The following is an 18,716-nucleotide window of genomic DNA, read 5'->3' on the forward strand; positions in this document are numbered from 1 at the left end:
ATAACACAATAAAAGCCATATATGACAAACTCACAGCTAACATCATTGAACAGAGAAAAGCTGCAAGCCTTTCCTCTAAGAATTAGAACAAGATAAGATGCCCAGTTTCACCACTCTTACTGAAAATAGTACTGGAAGTCCTAACTAGAGCAATTAAGCAAGAGAAAGAAATAAACGACATATAAATTGGAAAACAGGAAGTCAAGTACTCCCTTTTCACAAACGACATAAACTTATATAGAGAAAATCCTAAGATGCCACTAAAAAATTCAGAACTGATAAATTCAATAAAGTTATAGGATACAAAATCAACACACAAAAATCAGTAGCATTTCTATACACCAATAACAAACTAGCTGAAAAGAAATCAAAAAAGCAATCCCATTTATACTAGCTACAAAAAAAAAATACCTAGGAATAAATTTAACAAGGAAGTGAAAAAATCTCTATAAAGAAAACTACAAAACCCTGTTGAAAGAAATTGAAGAGAGACACAAAAAAATGGAAAGACATCCCATGCACATGGCTCAGAAGAATTTAATACTGTTAAAATGACCATACTACCCAAAGCAATCTACAGATTCAACGCAGTCTTTATCAAATTACAAATGACATTCTAGAGAACAGAAAAAAACAATCCTGAAATTTGTATGTATCCACAAAAGACCTTGAATAGCTAAAACAATCCCAAGCCAAAAGAACAAAGCTGACAGCATCACACTACCTGACATCAAAATATACTACAAAGCAATAGTAATGAAACAAAATGGTGTTGGTATAAAAATATACATAAACCAAAGGAACAGAAAAAAGAACTCAGAAATAAATCCATGTGTTTACAACCAAATGATTTTCAACCAAGATGCCAAGAACATATATTGGGGAAAGGATATCCTTTTCAATAAGCTAGAAAAACTGGATATCCTTATGCAGAAGAATGAAACTAGACCTCTATCTCTCACCATGTATAAAAGTCAACTCAAAATGGATTAAACACTAAACTGTAAGACCTGAAACTATAAAACTACTAGAAGAAAACAGGGGAAATGTTTCAAGGACACTGATCTAGGCAAAGACTTTATGGGTAAGACTACAAAAGCACAGGTAACAAAAACAAAAATAGACAAATGGAACTATATCAAACTAAAAAGCTTCTGCATAGCAAACAACACAATGAAGAGTAAACCCGTAGAATGGGAGAAAATATTTGAAAACTATTCATCCAACAAGGGACTAATATCCAGAATATACAAGGAGCTCAACAACAAAACTCAAATAATCCAATTAAAAAATGGGCAAAGGATCTGAATAGATATTTCTCAAAAGAAGACATACAACTGGCTGATAAGTATGTCAAAAAAATGCTCAACATCACTAATCATGAGGGTAATGCAAATGAAAATCACAAGGAGATACCATCTCACTTCAGTTAGAATGGCTATTGTCAAATCTAACCTGCCTCTCGCTCATACTCTCCTCCTCTGTTTTCATAACTTGGCAGTAGTACTCTTTGCCCAAGGAAAGCAGTTAAGACACAGCAGGTAGGACACCAAATGCTCTTTCGTGGAGCACTGTAATAGAAGCCTGCATGTATGCAACGGCCGGCTGTACACTCATTAGCTCACTCTCAATTCAAGGCACGGGCACCTTAACAAATGATTTACATGTCTAAACGGATTTCATCCCAGCTTAATCTAGGTAATTGGCAAAAGTTGGTGGTTAACTTACACAACTTCCACTCAGGAAAATGGAAAGCCATAATGAACTTTCAGGTAGTAAATGGTGAAAAAAAAAAAAATACTGCTCCATTTATGACTCACAAGAATTCTATTAGAGAAACTGGAGGAAAAAATAATTATTTAATGGATGAATTTAATATGTCTTGTGTACTCTATTTTTTAAAGGGGGATACATGGTTAAGTCTTAATATTGAAGTGAAACATGTTCTGGCAGTTAGTGCTGGGTAGTCGGCTCCTATTTTACTCTGCTGGGACTCATAAAGCCTCCTGGGACTCGATGGGAGGTACCCAATTTAAGGTCACAATAGAATAGAATGGAAGTTACTCATCCAGAGAATCTTTCAGAAGTGTTCTAGCTAAATCTTGATAGGGTACAAGCAATTAAAGTTTCCCAAGAGAAATAATCATTTAAGAATTCCCAATAAAGTATGGCATGTAGAATCAGGGCTAAAATTTCCACTGCCTGATGCTATTAAGTACTAAGGTCTCAGAATAGGTCAAGATTATCCAATATCCTAATTAAAAGTGGGATCAGCAACGCCAAAACTAACCACCAAGTGGACAGATGACTAATTGCCCAGATGACAATACTGATATCTGGACTCAAGAGACTGCTGATGAAACTCCATGAGGAAGTTAGATCCTAATGCACAGCAATGTCTGTTCTTCACCCTATGCACTCACGACAGACAGTCTCACCCTGCTCTGCCTTTCTCAGCAGCTAGTCCAAGAGGGAGACAAAGAAATGGTTCAGGTATGAAAGAGCCAGGTTGTCTCTGTGCAAAGCCATGTGTCCCAGTGGAATGCCCTCACTGAATATGCTGCAATCACACTTATTTTTCAGCTGGAGTAAAGGAAAGCACGTAATAAGGGTCCATATTCTCCATTCCTTCTTTTAATCCGTGTAGATAACTCAACAATTCCTTTATGGACCTGTGTGACTTCATTCCTCTTTAGTCTTCTCCCACACCTGATCTGAGGTTGCTCTCCTCCACCTCCAGCAATAAAACTGCCAAGTATGCAGTAAGAAGTGAAGTGCAAGACAAGCAGCCTTTATTTTCCCTTGGATTATCTGGCGGTAAGTGTCCACATGATAAAATAGCACTGAAACATGAGCAAAAATGTTTGCAGAAAAGTGGACTCACATTGTCGGGCTTAATCTGAGACATCAGGGAATTCTAGCATAATTCTTCACATGGGCCCTGAGCTGTTTAAAGATCACACACACTCTGCTACTAACCTCCTGAATATACCAATCCCCATTGCTCAGAAAAGCTGAACCCAGAGCTACTGTTTCACCATTTCAGATTCTCCAGGAGAAGTACTAAGTTATGGCCACCATTTCCCAGGTGAGCAAAAGGCATGAAAAGATTACCTTACTGAAACATCACTGCAACAAAACACAGCTCTGGTATGCTCTAAGAAGCCAAGAAAAATCCCAGCTGGTTTTATTGCAGCAACACATTCAGTTCTCCACTCAACAAATCACAACTAGACCCACTGTTCAGTGAACAAGGTAAATTCTTACACATCAGGAAGCTTCAACAGACTTGGACCAGATTCACTCATCTCCCCAATTCCTCACCTTCCAGGTTTACATGTTGCCATTACCTGTATAAGTGACGATTGTCTTCAAAATCTTCCTCACCCCATTTTCCCTTGATGTCTTCAATAACGTGATTCTTCAGGAATTTTTTTAGCAGCTGGACCGTTTGTTTGCGGGTCACTTCAGGGCCGAAGTTTTGACTGCACCTCAGCAGCTCATGCAGCCAATCCACAGCTTCGGCCGCTGTGAAACAATGCTCATAGCTCTTGAAACGACAGCGATGTTTCCGTAACGGCATCTTAGCACGAAAAAGCTCCACGGTCTCATTCCACTAGGGGAAAGAAAGAGAATGGCATTTAGTAATCAACTGATTTTTTTAAGATTACTACATCTCAAATAATTAAAGCAAAGAATGCAATTTTTCCACTTAAACTGCTTTAATAACAGGTAGAGCCTTGAAAATGTTTTATTTACAGGCTTCAAACTCTAATAAAGAAAAGTTTGGCAGAATGGATGGTGGCAATGGCTGTACAACACTGTGAATGTTCTTAGTGCCATAGAACTATATATATAAAAAACAGTTAAAATAGTTTTATATTATATATATTTTACCATAATTAAAACAAAAATAAAAACTTTTTTTTTTTTGAGATAGAGTCTAGCTTTGTCGCCCAGGCTGGAGTGCAGTGGCGTGTCTCTGCTCACTGCAACCTCCGCCTCCCAGGTTCAAGCAATTCTCCTGCCTCAGCCTCCCGAGTATCTGAGATTACAGGCGCCCACCACCATGCCCAGCTAATTTTTGTATTTTTAGTAGAGATGGAGTTTCACCATGTTGGTCAGGGTGGTCTCGAACTCTTGATCTCAAGTGATCCAGCCGCCTCAGCCTCCCAAAGTGCTGGAATTACAGGAGTGAGCCACTGCACCCGGCCTCAAAAATAGAAACTATTGATAGGAAAAAAAACTGTAAAGAAAATGCAGCTTTTCAAGGGTGGTTCATCATTTATTCATTCAAGAAATATTATTTATTGAGGAGATTGCCATCAAGTTGTCCTATTAATGGATTTTTACATAAACAAAGAACATACAGTAAATAATGATTAAAACTAAGCCCACTGTGCAAACTTTGCTTTTTGGAGTCCCCTGTTTAATGACTTTACCTTCATTCAGCAAATATTTCTAGGTTGCTTATTATGTGAAAGGCATTGTAGGAGGAGGAGGAAAAGAGATGAAAAAGATAATACAGTGCCTGATGTCAAACAGCTCAAGGCCACAAAGATAAACCTTTGAAAAGTGATGAGCCAGTTTTTGCTTACATGCAAAACAAAGCTTTTTGAAAGAATAGCTACTAGATACCTCAAATAATATATATTAGTTTAAAACTACCTCATGGTTCCTTTGAAAGGACCTAGAAGTTTAAGTGTGCATGACATCTTCAGATACCACACTGAAAAGTAGACTGGGTAGAGAGAGCTCAGGCTCTGAAGTCAAACACTGCTGGGTTGAGAGGCCTATTCTACAACAGACCAGCAGGGCAAACTGACTCATTGCTAGACAAGCCTCCATTACTCCCGGTGTAATGCAGTACCCACATGACAGGGTTGTTACAAAGACCAGATGAGATAATGTTGATGCAGCCTATCACAGTGTCTGTCACGAAAGAAGTGCTTAATAAACATTAGCCATTATAGCATCATTGCTGCTGTATTTATTAATATTATCAGGGTGGATGTGGCTGTCAGAGCTGAGTGAGTACGTTGGAAAGACCCCAGAATGGAGTCTCCATTGGCCATTAGTCCAGCCTCTGCCAATAACTATGTGGCTTTGGTGCAGTTAACACTTTTCTCTAGGAATTTGTCCTAAATAAAAATATGGCCCTAGAAGCTCAAAAAATCTCAGATTTTGGGAGTCAAAAATCATGGAAATTAAAATGAGAGGTCTGCTAAGAAACAGCACACCACACACTGATTGGATCCACGTCAGTTAAGTCCAGGGAATATATATCCCATTGCTTCCACTTTATTTAGGAACCTCGTTTTGTCAAATCAAGTACATACTAACTCACTGTAATACACTGCTGGCCATGCTCACCACACAATGATCCTAATCTTCAAGTATAAGAAACACTGGACCACTTCAGGATAACAGAATCAATCCCTGAGGAATGGGGAAAACAAGAGGTATGGAGTCAGACTTGAGTTCAAATCCCAGTTCTGCCATATACTGGTTGCACAGGCCCTGGCACATGGTTGAGAACTAAAAAAAATCCAGTTTCCTTCCACTACAAGATGCCACTAGGCGGCAGGTGAACTGCCATGTCTCATAGCATCCTTGAAGACAAAAACCAGATGTCTCTCTTAAATGTTACTTTCAAATAACTTCATGACAATTCAGCTTCTTTCTCCTTATATCTGTGAAGTTATATCAGTGAGGAGGAAATCAGGAAGCAAATAAATGACTTTTTTGTTCTCATTAGACTATATATAATATGTCCCAAACTTGTGTCCCCATTGTGTCTTTGTATATATGTAATCCTCATAATAACCATCTTTCAGAAGGAATTAAGAAATTTACTCAAATCTACCCAGCTAATAAGTGGTAGAACCAATTTGTATATTCAAATCTGTATCTTGAATTTTAACAAATCTATGTTCTACCTACAGTCTGCTGAAAATACAAAAATGTTAAAGGGAAATAATAGTCTCATCTCCATATTGTTTTAAAGCTAGCTCTAGAAAAGAATCTCATAAGTACTTGTTTAATAAATGCTTATATAAGATGTGATCTCTTTTTTTTTTTCAGCCACTTTACTTTTAGGGATTCACCATGTAGAAGCAGAAATATAACGGATTAAAAAGCATTTACAGGCCAGGTGCAGTGGCTTACACCCCTAATCCCAGCACTTTGAGAGGATGAGGTGGGCAGGTCACTTGAACCAAGGAGTTCGAGACCAGCCTGGGCATCATGGGGAAACCCCATTTCTACAAAAAATTTAAAAATTGGCCAGGTGTAGTGGTGTGTGCCTGTAGCTGCAGCTACTTGGCAGACTGAGCGGGGAGGCTGAAGTGGGAGGATCACTTGAGCCTGGGAGGTCAAGACTGCAGTAAGCCATGATTGCACCACTGCCTTCCAGCCTGAGCGACAGAGTAAGACCCTGTCTCAAAGAAAGATAAAAGTATTTACAAGTTAAATTTTATTTAAACATGTTGAATTATATTTAATAAACCTGAAGTGTTTTTTCAGAGAAAGCATTTATAAGCATTTTATATACTTATAAACATAAGTATATTTATGCTTTATAATCAGAGAAAAATTAGAACTAATTTGCCATTTTATAATCAGAGAAAAACTAGAACTAATTTGAATAAAATTGACTGAAGCGTGGAATAGCCACAAAACAAAATACTATCAATAGTTCCAGACAGAAATAGATACCATAAATATAACAAAGTGGAAGAAAAACGTACAAAACACTATATATAATCTGATCCTATCTGCTTTGGTATATGCATATGAAAAGCTAAATGAATATACAACAAACTTAAAAATAAAGGAAAGTCATCTCTTTTGAAGAAGGAATATAAGGCAACTTTTATTGTGTAACATATTTCTAATTTCTTTCTACATAATTATTTCAACATCTTTTTAGGAACGTAGGCTCCCTGCCAGTCCTCCTAAAGTCCTTAAAATTCATAGTCATATTCTCATTTTCTCTTACTCTTCTCTTTCAAGTCTGTCACTTTATAAACTCCGAATCTTTTGTCTCTCACCTCTCTTCCTATTTAAATCAGATTTTTCTGACGTCATCTTTTTCTTTAAACTGTATTTCTGATCTCAGAGTTGTTTTTTGTTTGTTTTGCTTGTTTGTTTGTTTTTGCCCAACCTTGGGTCATGTTTTCCCTTCTAATCATGACTTTTCTTCCAGATTTCTCTTCATACTCTCTGCTGCCCAACCACCTGAGAAACTATTATCCTATTTCTCTTTTATTTTTGATGGCTAACCTTCTCAGCCACATTCATAATTCCTGAGCATACAACAGCAGGAGCTTGAGGGACAGAAGTGGGGTTTGTGTATGCATGTACCCCGGATGTGTAGCACAGTGTGTGACCCACACTAGGTAGTCAATAAGCAAGTGCTTAATCGATCTTTCACTTTTTCTACTTTTTTTTTTTTTTTTGAGACGGAGTCTCACCGTATAGTCCAGGCTGGAGTGCAATGGCATGATCTCAGCTTAATGCAACCTCCGCCTCCCGGGTTCAAGCGATTCTCCTGCCTCAGTCTCCCAAGTAGCTGGGGTTACAGGCATGCGCCACCACACCCAGCTTATTTTTATATTTTTAGTAGAGATGAGGTTTCACCATGTTAGTCAGGCTAGTCTTGAACTCCTGACCTCAGGTAATGCACCCACCTCAGCCTCCCAAAGTGCTGGGATTACAGGCATGAGCCACCACACCCAGCACTTTTTCTACTTTTTTTAACCAACTTCTCAACCTCAAGAAATTTAATCCCACTAATTGCTAGTCATGTCTTCCTCCTGGCCAAACTGAAATAGCTTTTTATTCTTACGTTAATCTTTCTACTTCTTTTGACACTGTTGTGAGTCATGCTCCAAATTAAGTTAGTCCAAATTTAAAATCTTTTTTAACTTAAAAACACACAGAAACAAGGCAAGCCACTGAGTAGGATAAGATATATCTATCATTTCCAAACAAAACAAAAAAAATCAATAAGAAAAAGACATTCCAATTACAAAATGAAAAAAAAATTTAAACAGGTATATCATAAAAAAAAAGATCTTCAAATGTCCTATAACATATACAAAGATGTTAAACCTCATTAATTATCAGTGCAATGTAAAAGAACTCGACAAGTCAATATCACAACATGGCTGTCAGAATAACTAAAATGAAAGACAGGTGGATCTACTGATCCCACTTTTGGGTATTTGCCCAAAACATTTCAAGTCAAGATGTCAAAGAGATGTCTGCACTCCCATGTCATTTACTATTTACAAGAGCTAAGTTATGGAATCAACCTAAAAGTCCATCAACAGATAAATGAATAAAGAAAATGTGGTATACATATACAATATAATACTATTCAGCCTTTAAAAAAAGAAAGAAATGTTGTCATTTGCAACGACATGGATGGAAGTGGAGAACATTATACCAAGTGAAATAAGCCAGGAACAGAAAAACAAATAATGCCTATTCTCATTTATACGTGGAATCTAAAACAATTGAGTTCAAAGAGGCAAAAAGCAGAATGGTGGTAACCAGAGGCTGAGGGGAGTGGGGAACGGGGAGATAATGGTCAAAAGGTACAAAGCCTCAACTAGACAGGAAATTATCTTTTTTATTTGAGATATCTTGACATCATGGTGAAGATATTAATAATAATGTACTTTCAAAATCTGAGAGTAAATTGCAAGTGTACAACAAAAAAATGTTAAGTATTTGAGGTGATGGATATGGTAATTAGCTTGATTTAATTATTCCATTGAATTCGTAAATCATAACATCATTTTGTACCCTATGAATATATACAACTATAATTTGTCAGTTTACAACTTACAAAACTAAAATTTTTTTTAGAGACCTAAAAAATAAGAAAAAAGGTAGGCAACACTAAGTGCTGGTAAGAATGTGAAAGAACTAGAAATCTCATACACTGCTGTAAGGAATGTAAATTGGTGCGACCAGTTTGGAAAACAGATTGGCAATATCTACAAAAGCTAAATATCTGAACACCTTATAACTCAGCAATTCTACTCCTAAGCATATACCCAACAGAAATCCATATATATGCTCCCCAAAAGACACATTGTTCATAATGGCACTATCCATAATAGGCAGAAACAACCCAAATGTCCATCAACATAATAAGTTATAATATATTCACCAATAGAATGCAGTGAAAATGAACGAACTATTGCTACATGCCATAACATAAATGAATCTCAGAAAATAATATTGAGATGAACAGGCCACATATGAAAAGTAAATACTATATGATTCCATTTACTTGAAGCTCAAAAGCAGGCCAAACGATCCATGATATTTAAAATAATGATAGCAGTTACCTTCATAAGGAGGTAGGGACCAAGTGGGGGAAAGGAGACTTCTGCGGTGCTAGTAATATGATATTCCTTGATCTGAATGTTGGTTACATGGGATGCTCACTTTATGAAAATTTGTTGAGTTGTACACTTTTTATACAACTCAACAAATTTTTTGAGCATTTTTCTGTACATTATGCCTAATTAACACCTAAAAACAAAAACACATACATACACATATGCACATGTTCACATACTAAAATTATTACCCACATGAAAGTTGGCAAATATGAACTGGTTGGTTGGGGTGGTAAACTGGATGTGGAAGAGAGTAGGGAGGTTGGAGAAGAAACCAAGTGAGTGGATGAAGGAGGGAAAGTATGTAAACAGGAAAAGCAGAGCAAAGGCTAAATAATGAATAGTAGAAAGGAAGCCCATAAAGAGTCCAAGAACGCTGATTTAACTTCTCTACCTATCCACCCACTTTACAAGGTTATTGTAAGATCAAATGAGATCATGACTATAAAAGTCCTTTGTTAAAAATGCGTTCCTCAAATTTAAGGATAATATATAAAATGTCCAGGATATCTCTTAAATTATAAGGTTCAATCTATTCTAGAGCTGGAAAAAATCTTTGGGACAAAATCAAGACCTTAGCAGGATACACAACTTAGCAAATGTCATTCAGGTACTTAGTCTGTGAATAAGATCTGGAATCCTGTGCTACGGACTTTTCTTCAAGTAGTCATTTCACTATACCAAGTACCTATGGATATTACCATACCTTTAAACAATTTTCACATATTTTTAATCATTGATTATTGATTTTTTTAATACATGCCCTGATACCTAGCTTTCATTTATCATTAGATTGTTGTACCGAAAAGGCATAATCAAGTATGTAGGGCCGGGGGAAGGGGTAATAAAAAAGATTTTTGTTTATGTTGGTTGAACAATCATAATCATGAACTAAAATTACCTAATGCATAATACCTTATGCATTACATAAACATAATGAAGGCATGGCTCTCTGGGACCCAATATTTCCAAATATCACTAGGTATATCCACTAATTGACCCAGTCTGGTTAGCAGTTCTGTTGTTCTTTTAATTACAGAAGTAATAACACTCATTGAAACAAACAAATTAAATACAGAAGTATACACAAAAGAGTTTGCATGTCTTACTCCATACCTATCACATACAGACACATAGACAGAATTTTTCCTTTGTAGGTGTGTCATTTATTGTTGTTTGCCATTTTAAAAAATGAGATCAATCATGTTGTATATGTTATCCTAAAACACGCTTTTGCACCTAACAGATACCTCCCTGCGTCATACCTGCAGATCTAGCCCATTCTTAAGAATGTGCCATAATTTATTCTGCCATTTTCTAACAAATGGTCATCCAAGTTCTGCCCAGTTCAATTTTTACAAATATGTTACAAGTTATACTTGTTTATATAACCTAAAGTACCAAGGCTTTTGTTTACTTTTGATAGACTTCTAAAAAGTATCAGCATATTTAAATCAGTTGTAGCAATTCACACTTCCACCAACAATGTGGGAGCCTAAAGCCTTACACTTTGGCCTACACTAGATGTTATCATTTCTTTCATTTCTGCCAATCTATGTAAAAGAAATGATAGATCCATATTTTGTTTGCATTTTCATATCTTTACCTTTAGTCATATTCATTTCTTCTTCTGAGATTTGCCATTTTTCTATTGGGTTATCTCTTTTTTAAAATCAATTTTAAGAACTGTTTAATCTGTTAATGTTTAAAGGGCACAGAAGTCAGGAAAGTTAATCGATTTTGTTCAGCTCAATATCCTCACAACAAAGACCAGTGCCTGACATATAGTATACCCATTTAATATGTACTGATGAATATAGAATATTAAACCTTTTTGTTATATGTTACAAATGTTTTATCTTAGCCTATCAATTTCTTTACATAGTCTCTAGCTATACAATGATTTTGTTGTAGATGTTGATGTTTTTATAAGGAAATAATTATCTATTTTCTTTATCAGTTCAGGGTTTATTCTCTTAAGAAAGCTTCCCTATCCTGAGGTATTAAAATATTTATCAAAATTTCCTTTTAATATTTTAGAGGGTATGTTTTTTAATATGTAAACCTTTAACTGAATTTTATATGGTGGGAGGCAGGGGATCTCTATTTTTTTCTGGATGGAGAGTTGTGTTAGTCCATTCTTGCGTTGCTGTAAAGAAATACCTGACACTGGGTAATTTATAAAGGAAAGAGGTTTAATCAGCTTACGGTTCTGCAGAGTGTACAAGAAACATGGTGCCAGCATCTGCTCAGTTTCTGGTGAGGCCTCAGGAAGCTTTTATTCAAGGCAGAAGGTGAAGCGGAAGCAGGCAGAAGGAGGCACATAACACAGCAAGGGGGGAACAAGAGAGAGTGAGGGACAGGGTGCCACACTTTTAAACAATCAGATCGCACATGAACTCAGAGTGAATACTCACTCATTGTCATGAGGACAGCAACAGGCCATTCATGAGTGATCTGCCCCAGTGACCCAAACACCTCCACTAGGCCCCACCTCCAACACTGTGGATTACATTTCAACATGAGATTTGGAGGGGATAAACGTCCAAACCATATCAAGAGTCAATTATGCCATGCTTTTCTAAATGAACAGAAATATTATTAAGTAACCTTACATATCACACTTCTTGATTGTTTCTATCCCACTGAGCGACTATCTGTTCCTGTGTAATACCATACAGTTGTCATTACAGTCAATTAATACCAAGTATAAATCCCTGGTAGGACAAGGCCCCTGTCTTCTTTGTAAGGGAATGTGAAAACTTCTTTCTTTTTTTATTTTTTTTGAGACAGAGTCTCGCTCTGGTGCCCAGGCTGGAGTGCAGTGGCGTGATCTCGGCTGACTGCAACCTCCGACGCCCTGGTTCAAGTGATTCTCCTGCCTCAGCCTCCCAAGTAGCTGGGATTACAGGCATGTGCCACCACACCCAGCTAATTTTTGTATTTTTAGTTGAGACGGGGTTTCACCATGTTGGCCAGGATGGTCTTGATCTCCTGACCTCGTGATCCACCCGCCTCGGCCTCCCAAAGTGCTGAGATCACAGGCATGAGCCACCGCACCCAGCGTGAAAATTTCTTTTTGTGAAGTTCATTTCTTTTTGTGAGGGAAAACTTTTTTCAGTTCTCAGAATTTTACTCTTCAGCATGAGCTTTCAATTCATTGCATTCTCCCACACAGGAAAAAAAAATCCATTAGGATTCAGAATGGATTAACTGCTCTATTGCTACTGACTTTTATTTCATACTAGAAAATGTCTAATAAAACATCTTTATCAAAGTCTCATTGCCCCTTTTAAAAAGAGCATTTATAAATAGACTTTTGAATTTACTCATTTTGATTTTGAATGGCATTTATCATTATGGGTTATATTTCCTTAATATATGAAATACTTTAGATTTTTTAAAGCCTACTGAGGTCACTTTGGTCTCTGTTCCCACTTATTTCCAAATATAACTAAGGGGTTATTTGGCTACTCTGCTCAGAAAGAAAAATAAGTATCTTTAAATAATCTAACAATATACCATTCTCAGTCACTTTTGGAAACAAAATATCCTCTGTCAATAAATAACAAGAAAGAGCTTGAGTTTTTTTTTCATGACATTATATTTGAAGAGAATCTTTACAACAAATGGAACAAAACAGATTTGTTTTATGATTTTAAAACACTTTTTGTTTTGCTCTACTTATTAATTTCAGTCCCCTAGTTTCTCAGGAAAAAATAAAATCACACAATTGTTTTTTCTTAACATGATGAGGCAAACTATAAGACATACACCTACTGCTGTGCATCCTGTTCTTTTCTCCAGGATATTCCATTTCATTTCTTCTTAGTACCAAAAATATTATGATAGCGGTGCTATAAAGAAAACTGACTGGTCTGGGAGTTCAGTGACAACCACTCCTAGATCTACTTGCACTTGCCACAACCTCGTTGTGTGATCTTGCCATTCTAACTCTCAGATTCAATGAAAGCTGTATGTCTTTTAAAATTTATCAGTTGCATCAGACCATATATATAACTCAGAATAAGTTCAAAGATTTAAGCAGTTTCTAGAAAAAAAATTTTTCTCTCTACTTGAATGAACTATTTATACCAAGTTTACAAAGATGAAAGTTATTTCAGTGAAAATGTATAAATGGATAACTAGCTTCACATTTATCATGAGTTGGGGCTGTCATTTGACTTTTGTCATAACATTTTACCTAATCCACAAAATGTTATTTTCAAATAAGACTTTGGTGCTTTAGAAAAAGCACCAAAGAGCTTTTTCTAAAGCTGTACATGCTTTGAGAAAGTAAAGTGAGCCATGAAAGGAGAAAATAAAGGCCTAGTTTTTGTATCCCAATAGATTTTTACCAAGCTTCCCCTGAAGAAAGTTTAGAATGAGCATGATGGGAAAAGGGAGAAATTGTATGCTGCAGATAGAGGGAGGAAAGGCCAACTAGGTCCAACAAGTAAAAAGAGGACTAGTCTCAAACTATTAAATATATGATTTACCTAGCAAAAGCTTTAAGTCACAGCTGAATTACACTGGGGAAACAATTACAGACTTTACAATGGAAAGAAGCATCTTCAATGTTGGCTGCAATCACTGACAGCAGGAATACTCACTTTTGAAAAAAAAAATTGGCTATTGTTTTCTGTTTTCCACATCTTAGTTTAATATTATGTTCCTCAAACACTATGAAGTTGAGAACTGAATTGATTACCTGGGAAATTCTGGTGAAACTGAGGTGTTTGTTTCATTAATTATCCATGTCATTTATCTTCTTAACTTAATCAACCTAAATTTAGCCTGAATATTATTTGTTAGGGACTGAAGACTTCTAGAGAGCAGAGAGCACCTTTTTTTAATTAAACAAATTCCTTTGATAATATTTTAATGTGACTCAAGAATCCAGCACTATCTATATATGGACCCTCTGCATCCATGAAAAGAAGTACCTCATACAATTCTGTGAATATGAGACTAAAATACAATTCCAATTATGAGGTATTTTTTTTTTAGTCTAATGCAGGAAGAATGAAGACTAGTCACGTCAAGAACCACAGCCTTGCTATGTTTTCCTTGTGTAAGTGCTGTAAATAAATTGGTGAAGGGAATGATCAAATGCCTTATTTTCCTCCCTAAAGTTAGACTTATCAATATTCTTGACCCCAGATCATTCTGGTGTCTATACTGTATAGAGTGTTCGCAAAGATGAGTGCAATGATTCTTCCCATCCTCTCCACATGCACCTCTGTGGCTTTGCCACCCTGCCCATCAAGAAGTGGAGTTGAATTTCTAGAATCTGGATTTAGCTGTTTAACTTGCTTTGACCAATGAGATTTGAAGAAAAAGTCACAAGCTGAAACTTCCTTTTAGCTACGTTGGAACCATGAGACCACTACGTGAAGATGCCTCCGATAACCTGTTAGAGATATCTGGCCCAGGTAACAGCCAGGACCAAGTCAAGCAGCCATCTTCCATCATCCAGTAATAGCCAAGTCACATTATTTGTGGCACATGAGTGACCTCCACAAAAGAACCATTGACATGAGTCTAGCCCAGATTACTGATCCAAAGGATGAGCAAATAAAATGCTTGTCTTTATGCCAAATAAAACAATGTCACAGACTCTCCCAATCTCCTTATTATTTTTTTTTTTTTTTGAGATGGAGTTTCGCTCGTTGCCCAGGCTGGAGTGCAATGGCGCGATCTCAGCTCACTGCAACCTCTGCCTCCCAGGTTCAAGAGATTCTCCTGCCTCAGCCTCCTGAGTAGCTGAGACTATAGGCGCATGCCACCATGCCCAGCTAATTTTTGTATTTTTAGTACAGACGGGGTTTTGCTGTGTTGGCCAGGCTGGTCTCGAACTCCTGACCTCAAGCGATCCATCCCCTTAAATCATGTAAAATTTCATGAGTATGTGCCATGTGCAGTTTTCTGTGAAGAAGATCCTTAATCTTCATCAGATTCTCAAAGCGATCTATGAGCCAAATTTAAAAAGTAAAGACCCATCAGCCCCAACTATGATTTCTCTTCCAGAAGCTGGCCTTCTCAGCTCTGGCTTGACTTACTGGTATAGTGTGTGGCTGGCTTTGGAAAGAAAAGGAAACTCTATTTACATTATCTGTATCCCAGCATCCTCACCTCTTCCATGAGTCTAGCTGAGTAAGAGTTTGGATGTTAGTTCCCATCTTTTCCTGTGTATTCATTATAATGCATGGAACTATGAGAGTAATTCCCATGTTAAATGTGGCCAGAGAGGTCGGCAGACCAAGGAGCAAGTTACTGTCCTCCCAAATTACCATTACACTTCCACAGAAAGTCCTCTAAAAACTTGCCACAGACATTACCAAACTGTCACCCTTTATTGTTCCAAGTCAAAGCAGACCAAGTACACCTCAATACCAAAGCTTTTCTCCCAGAAAAAAAAAAAAAAAAAAACAGGAACTCAGAGTCGGCAAAGACTCTCCTAAAACATCTGTCCTGGCCAGCTCTTCATCTGGATCGGTGCTGACAGAAACAGAAACGCCAGGGGCCGGAAATGCGGCCAGCGCGATGCCCCTCTGTTCTGGGCACCGTTTATTCGAATACCCCGTCAGGTATCATCAGGTGTCACTCAGGAAGGAGACACGCCCTGCCTGGACTGCCGCGAACGCTGAGCGTTACGGGGTACGTGGTGGCCCCTCAGGTTACCGACCGGGTCGGTTAGATTCCAGAGGACAAAAGGCAGGGAACAGCCTGGTCTTGGGGTCTTTAAACAGAGAGGCGCCATCTACTGCCGAGAACCCAGTCAACATCTCATGGACAAAGCTGCACTAACCCCCGGCCGGCTGAGCTCTGGGCCCCGTTAGCCTTTCTTTGAGGCTCGTCCACTAAAAGGCAGCCCCAGTAGTCCCAGCTGAAATGCTCCACACCCGAGCCCCGCTGGCCTGCGGAAGCGAAGACTGACAAGCACTCTGTCCGCGCGCTGAGTGGGGGCTCGCGGCACCGGGTGCTCCGCCCAGGCCCCAGCACACTCACTCACCAGCCTGGTAGCTCGGTACGGCCCGGGCCCCACGATGCGATGCTCCATGGCGCGTAGGCAGCAGCGGCCGCAGCCGCGCCAGCGCTGATCCCCGCCAGCCGGAGGAGCAGCAGTTTGAATCCCAAGCCCGCGGGCTGCGGGCGCTGATTGGGCGGCGCGGCAGCACGTCACCGGAAATGCGCGGGGAGGCAGGCGTCTTCTCCGAGACCCGCGGCGCTGGGAGCTCCGCGTGCGAACTTGCCCGGGGCGAAATCTGTTGCCCACCCTGGTCCCACCGTGCGAGCACACCTAGGCAGGTGCGACTAAGGGGCCGGGGGCGTCTCCCCAGCGCTGGAAAACGCTGTGCAGCGCCCTTCCCAGATTTCTGCGTCCGCGCAACACAAACACACGCAACGCTATCTCTACAAAAGGGTCAATAATAGGTGTTATCCAGCGACCGAAACCCAGCTTTGGGCCGCGTGGATAAATACCTGTCCTCCCTACCAAGTGCACTGTGAGCCTGGAGGTGCTGCTAACGCTGGGAGAAGCGGTAGTGAAATGAAGCGAGGCGACAGCTTTTACCAGTGTAGGGACATTTAAAAACGGGATAGAGAGCACAAGGAGCGTAGACAGTGTGTTAAGGGCAATAAAGAGCGGGAAGGGAGCCCCGATTCCTCTTCTGTTTGTTCTCATGATAGTCTTTTCCCCTTTAATTTGAGTTCTATGTTTTGTATTGGGCTGATACTTTTAGTCCTCGGCAATAGGGTTGTGAGTCCTTTTTTGACTGCTTAGAATTTTCCCCCTGGGAATTGCTAGTCCGATTTGCAATCTTTCAGAGGGACAAATGAAGTAACTCCATATACTTAGGACTCTGTACACCTACTCAAATTTGGTCATCTCGGTAAGTACCCAGGACAAGACGTTGAAGGAGTGAAGGTGTGCCATTCCAAAATATGCCTAATTGGTATATTGATTATTTCGAGCGGAAAACATTGGAGAAATGGTAGTTTCAGAAAGGGCAAGCTGACCTGCCTCTTCGATGCAGCAGGCCACAAAGATTTCTCTGGGATGGGCATCCTCTCCCTACCACGGTGAGAAAATAGCCTTTATCACCAAAGGCTTGGAATTGAAGGCTGCAGTGGACCTGAATAAACATTCTTAACGAAGTAACCCTATCTTCCACTAGGAGATATAGGAGATTTTTTACATATATCTTCTAGTGACTCCCTAGAAAATGTTACTGCCTTTGTGAGCTGTGGAAGTTAACTCGAGTCACAGGGCACCAAAATATGTTAGCAGCTGCCCATATCCGAGACACGGCCCCAAAGTATGTTACAGGCAGTGAATTCCTACAGATCTGCAGCAACCTCAATTCTTGACTCCTCAGAAGAAAGAGTTCGACTGAGGGGCATAAGGCAAAAGGAGAGACCAAGGCAAGTATTAGAACAGAAGTGAAGTTTATTAAAAAGCTTTGAATGAAAGGAAGTACACTTGGAAGAGGGCCAAGCCAGTGACTTGAGAGATCTAGTGCGTAGTTTGACCTTTTGACCTGGGGTTTTATACGTTGGCATACTTCTGGGGTCTTGCTTTTGGGGCTTTGCATTACTTCTCTCCTGATTCTTCCCTTAGAGTGAGCTGTCCACAGGCGCATACTTGAGCCCACTTGCCCAACTCCTAAGATCTTATCGGGAAGCTGCTGATCAACAGTTCAAGTGTTTTCTATTAGGAGACTGCCTTTCCCTGGTGCCGGCTGTGACCAACTATTATTTTAGAGAGACAATTAACAACCACCTGACCATCACCTGATGGCTGCCTGACATTCCTGATGTGTGTGTGTATGAGGGGGAGCCCTCTCCTGCCCTGCTCATGCCTGACTAGCTACCTACTGTAACACCTTAACCAGATTTTCTTTGTCATGGCTTTTCTTCTCAAATTTATCTCTCTTTACCTAAAAAAATGAATAAAAGCATCTTACTTTGGCCACTTCTTCAGACTTCACTCTCTTGTGAAGATCCCCATGTGCACATAAAACTAATAAAATGTGTATACTTTTCTCCTGGTAATCTTCCTGGTGTCAGTGTGGTTTCTAGATACAACTGGAGAGCTCATTAAGAGGTAAAAGGGAGCTTGGAGGTGATCTCTGGCTCCCCTATAACATCATAAGAAAGATCTAAGTAAGGGATTGGACCACCTCTTCTCATCCTCAAAACCACACCACTACCACCACCCATTTGCTGCCTTAGGTTTTTATTTAGCCCAAGAAATGTCCTGAGATGATACATATATATTGCTTTTGTAATTAG

General features: G+C 39.0%; 1 protein-coding gene and 1 long non-coding RNA gene across 9 annotated transcripts in view, besides 1 other annotated feature; one reads left to right on the plus strand and one right to left on the minus strand.

Moving 5' to 3' along the window:
- Positions 1-16,555, minus strand: part of DEPDC1B (DEP domain containing 1B) — a 103,255-nt gene extending 86,700 nt beyond the window's left edge. For 5 of the 8 annotated variants that reach the window (XR_007058609.1, XR_948274.4, NM_001145208.2 and 2 more), the window contains exons 1-2: positions 16,435-16,555; positions 3,351-3,616 (exon numbers count right to left, since the gene is read on the minus strand). Coding sequence is in view for 6 of the 8 variants with exons in the window: in NM_001145208.2 (NP_001138680.1) it covers positions 3,351-3,616; positions 16,435-16,482 (314 nt within the window). In the remaining 2 variants the exon portion in view is untranslated. Of the gene's footprint in view, positions 1-3,350; positions 3,617-4,113; positions 4,229-16,434 lie in introns of those variants that run through there. The other 3 variants (XM_047417369.1, XM_047417370.1, XM_011543509.3) reach the window with 2 other exon arrangements.
- Positions 4,723-4,852: a silencer, noted in NCBI's record as "silent region_16038". NCBI's record gives its function as "represses an Ori minimal core promoter by ATAC-STARR-seq in GM12878 lymphoblastoid cells {active_cell/tissue: GM12878}" and the evidence as "EXISTENCE:reporter gene assay evidence [ECO:0000049][PMID:35858748]".
- A 73-nt stretch (positions 16,556-16,628) lies between the features above and the next one.
- Positions 16,629-18,476, plus strand: LOC124900982 (uncharacterized). The gene is made up of 2 exons (XR_007058779.1): positions 16,629-16,730; positions 18,043-18,476. It is a non-coding gene; the product is annotated as an uncharacterized LOC124900982 (long non-coding RNA).
- Positions 18,477-18,716: the final 240 nt, after the last annotated feature.

Source organism: Homo sapiens, chromosome 5 (genome assembly GCF_000001405.40).
Source record: "Homo sapiens chromosome 5, GRCh38.p14 Primary Assembly".
Classification (NCBI taxonomy): Eukaryota; Metazoa; Chordata; class Mammalia; order Primates; family Hominidae; genus Homo; species Homo sapiens.